Raw genomic sequence first — 3894 nt, forward strand, 5'->3', positions numbered from 1 at the left:
AATGTACAACATTTATTGGTTTTACTTTTGATAATACTGGCTCATATATAGTTACCTGCTAGGTCTCTGTTAAGATCGAGACTTTTTTTTTTTTTAAATAGCTTTGCTGGCTAAGTTTCAGTTTCGTTTCATTTTCCTCCTATCACTTAAGTTTCAGTTCTGTTTCTCAGGATATTCTCTTTCCCTTTTTACTAGTATTATCTGATTCTGTTTGTTAGAATTGTTCCTTGGTGCCCTTTAACCTGATTAAAATGAACAGTTATTCTAAGGTAGATATTCCCAAGCAGGAATTTTAAACAGAGGTAAACCTTAGTACCTTGCCAATTTATTCCAGCATTGGCAAAATGTATCTGCTGTAGTAGAGCATAAATTTGTCCAATCGCTGCCTGAGTACCTATGTGTTCGTGGCTTGATTTACCTTATCTGTAATTCCTGGATGTTAAAAGGACACCAAAAATCTCTGACACCCTGATTAGCCTACCTTGAAGAACCCAAGCCCAGGATTTCTGCCTTTGCCTAGAAAAAGGACTGATTCAGAACTTCCTGAGCTACCTAGTATTCTGGCCATAAAGTGGAGGAAAGGAATCTATAATCCCATTTTCTTCTTTTCATTCATAGCTTATTCTCAGTTCTGCAAAAATCCAAACTGCCCCAGGGCTCATGGGACAACATAAACTAGAAAGTTTGTGGGAAAGATTTAAACTGGCCACCAAGTGGTTAGACACTCGCCAGACCTGACGGCACTTGGCGGGGTTGGGGGCAGGGGCGGGGGTGGGGAAGATCCAACAATTTGGACAATCACATACTTCAGACACGAAATCACTAAAATGTTTAAACTCTAAAAACTGTCTACTTGAAATTTAAATCCTTGATGCCTCCTCCATATTTGAAATTATATTCTTTTTTATTCAGAAATTATGCCCAATTTTGATGATTTGGAAAACAGAAAAAAAGTAGAAAGAAAAAGACAAAAATCTAAATGGCAATCCAGGCACTAAAACTCATCTTAGCATTTTGGTATATTCCCTCTCATTTCTTCTTTCTACTCATATTTTTGTGTATCATTTTGACTATGTCATATATACAATTTTATATGCTGATTGTTTCCACTTATTGTATTTCCCTGTGTTGATACAAATTTTACCAACTATATTTTTACTAGATACATATTCTCTCATACATATATAAAAATATATATTATATAACTATATATAAATTATAAATTTATATTATATATTTAAATTTAAATTATACATGTTATATAAAACATATAATTTTATATATACATGAGAGAATATTACATATCTAGTAAAAATGTAGTTAGTAAAATTTGTATCAACACAGGGAAATACAAGTGGAAACAATCAGCATATAAAATATTGTGTGTGTATGTATACGTATATATAATGTATTTGCTCATTCACTTTTTTGGGAACAACAATATTACTGATATCCTATTATAAACATGTTTACATACAAAGCTTTTTATTTTTCTGCTTTAGGATTGTTTCCTTAAGTTAAACTCCCCAAAATAGGTGCACTAAAAGGTATGAAAAGTTTTAAGATTCTTGATACATATTGTTAGGTTACTTTACAAGATAGTTGTAACAGTTTACTTTCTAAAAAGGCTGTTTAATGTAAACATTTCTGGTAAAATCACTACTTAAAGTTGTGTGAAGCCAATACTCTGTTAAAAGCAGCCTGTCACACATCTAATTTGTACCAAAAGAAGTCCTTTATTTTACTAATGCCTCTGCAAGGTTTATAGCAGTTCACCAATATGACCACATTTGGACTTTAAAACCAAGCTTTAATCAGTAATGTATTTGACACACAGGCATAAAGAGAAGTATATATATAATGTGGTCCATATCCCGTAGAATAGACAAGAATTCCACATAGAAAGAGTTGCTGGGGAAATCTGGTTGCTGAACTAGGTGGTAAGTGCTACAGTAGTTCAGAGGGAGATGGCACCCGTATGGACTGAAATGGTTGGGGAAGACAGGTTATTGTCTTCTGGAAGTGGTGGAACCTGACAATGAAGAATGGTGGGCCTTAGACACACAGAAGGCTGAGAAGAGCCTTCTAGACCAGGAGAACAGCATTCACAAGGATGTTTATCATAGCGTTGGAAAATGAGGTGACTGGACTAAAATTTCCAATTGTTATGGACTATATTTGTACCCTAAATTCTGATGTGATGAGTATCACTTGAGGCTAGGAGTTGAGGCCAGCCTGGGCAACATAGAGAGACCCCCATCTCTAGAAAATAATAAAATAAAATAAAATAAATAATAAATTCCGATGTGCCATTTCCTGATTTGCATTCAAATAACTCAGTCCTAGGCCAGGAGTGATGGCTCATACCTGTAAGCCCAGCACTTTGGGAGGCCAAGGTGGCCATGAGTTTGAGACCAGCCCGGCCAACATGGTGAAACCCCGTATCTACTAAGAATACAAACATTAGTTGGGCATGGTGGCGCGTGCCTGTAATCCCAGCTACTTGGGAGGCTGAGGCAGGAGAATTGCTTTAACCAGTGAGCCAAGATCGCACCACTGCACTCCAGCCTGGGCAACAGAGCAAGACTCTGTCTCAAAAGAAAAAAAGAAAAGAACTATTTGTGTCTTGCATACCTAAGTATATTTAAAGAAAATTTACAAATATAATCATATAAATTCAGCTTTTTCTTGAACCCTTACTATGTAGAAGTCACCCTGCTAAATTTTATAAGGAATACAAGAAACAATAAGGAGAAGGATGTACCCCCAAGTAAATCACAATTTAACCGAGAAAATATGATATACTTGTGCATCTCTGCACGATGGGAATATGTTCTGAGAAGTGCATCATTACGTGACTTCACTGTTGTGCAAACATCATAGAGTATACTTATACAAACCTAGGTTAACTGAAACATTGTTATACAGTGCATGACTGCATAGAAACACATATCTACCAGTGCAAAATTATTTGTCACAACTTTTACATAGCTTCTATTACCTAATCAGTGTCTTACAAAGAGTGGGCACTCAATATTTATTTGCGAAATAAATGAAGGAAGGAGGAAAAGACCATTTCCAGGTGGAAGAGCCGGGGAAGAGTCCTGGAACCAGCCGTGATTCAAGCTGGGTTCTCAAGCGTGGTTAAGATTTAAAAGAATTGGGAAGAGATGAGAAACACTGCAGACAAGAAATGCAACAGAAACGTAAAGTATCTATTCTTGGCAAGTGAGATAAACATGTTCTCTGATTGCTAAAAATTAACTTTCCAAAATAGATAAATGTGTTATAACCAGGCACATAGCATAAAATAGCATACACATAGCATAACATGAGCCTACACACACACAAAGCAAAAAGTTAACAGTGCCCTCCACCAAGAGATAATTTTAGGACAAGAGAAAAAATATATCCTAAAAGATAGCATTGAAAAGTAAATAAATTATATTCCAAAGGAAAAAAAAACCAGAAACAAAGGTGTAAAAGATTTTCCCCAATCTTAATGCTTTAAACTAGAATAGTAAGGGATGGAAAATATACCATTTCCTGAAATTTCTAAGAGATTTTAGTGATTGGGATCAATAGTAGCAAAACATTGGTGGATGCCAATTCTCTCCTGTGTAAAAGATATGTAAGTTCAGTTCTGAGTGATTGCACAAGGGTAAAGGTATTGCAAGCGTTCACAGATCACTCACTCTGCACATAATACCTTTGCCCCAAATAACCATTTGCACCTTTTATACAGTAAAAGAATTACAGCCATTCTTTTAGTAACTAGTCCCTAAAACATAAAGGCTTTCTTTCCTCTTTCAAGAATTCTAAACCATGAGACATGTACTATACATATTGAACACATAAAGAGATGAGAACACATGTAAAGATGCAGAACACATG

General features: G+C 35.5%; 1 annotated feature.

Annotated features, from left to right (window-relative positions):
* Positions 1 to 250: an enhancer, noted in NCBI's record as "active region_13431". NCBI's record gives its function as "activates an Ori minimal core promoter by ATAC-STARR-seq in GM12878 lymphoblastoid cells {active_cell/tissue: GM12878}" and the evidence as "EXISTENCE:reporter gene assay evidence [ECO:0000049][PMID:35858748]".

Source organism: Homo sapiens, chromosome 18 (assembly GCF_000001405.40).
Source record: "Homo sapiens chromosome 18, GRCh38.p14 Primary Assembly".
In the NCBI taxonomy this organism is placed as follows: domain Eukaryota; kingdom Metazoa; phylum Chordata; class Mammalia; order Primates; family Hominidae; genus Homo; species Homo sapiens.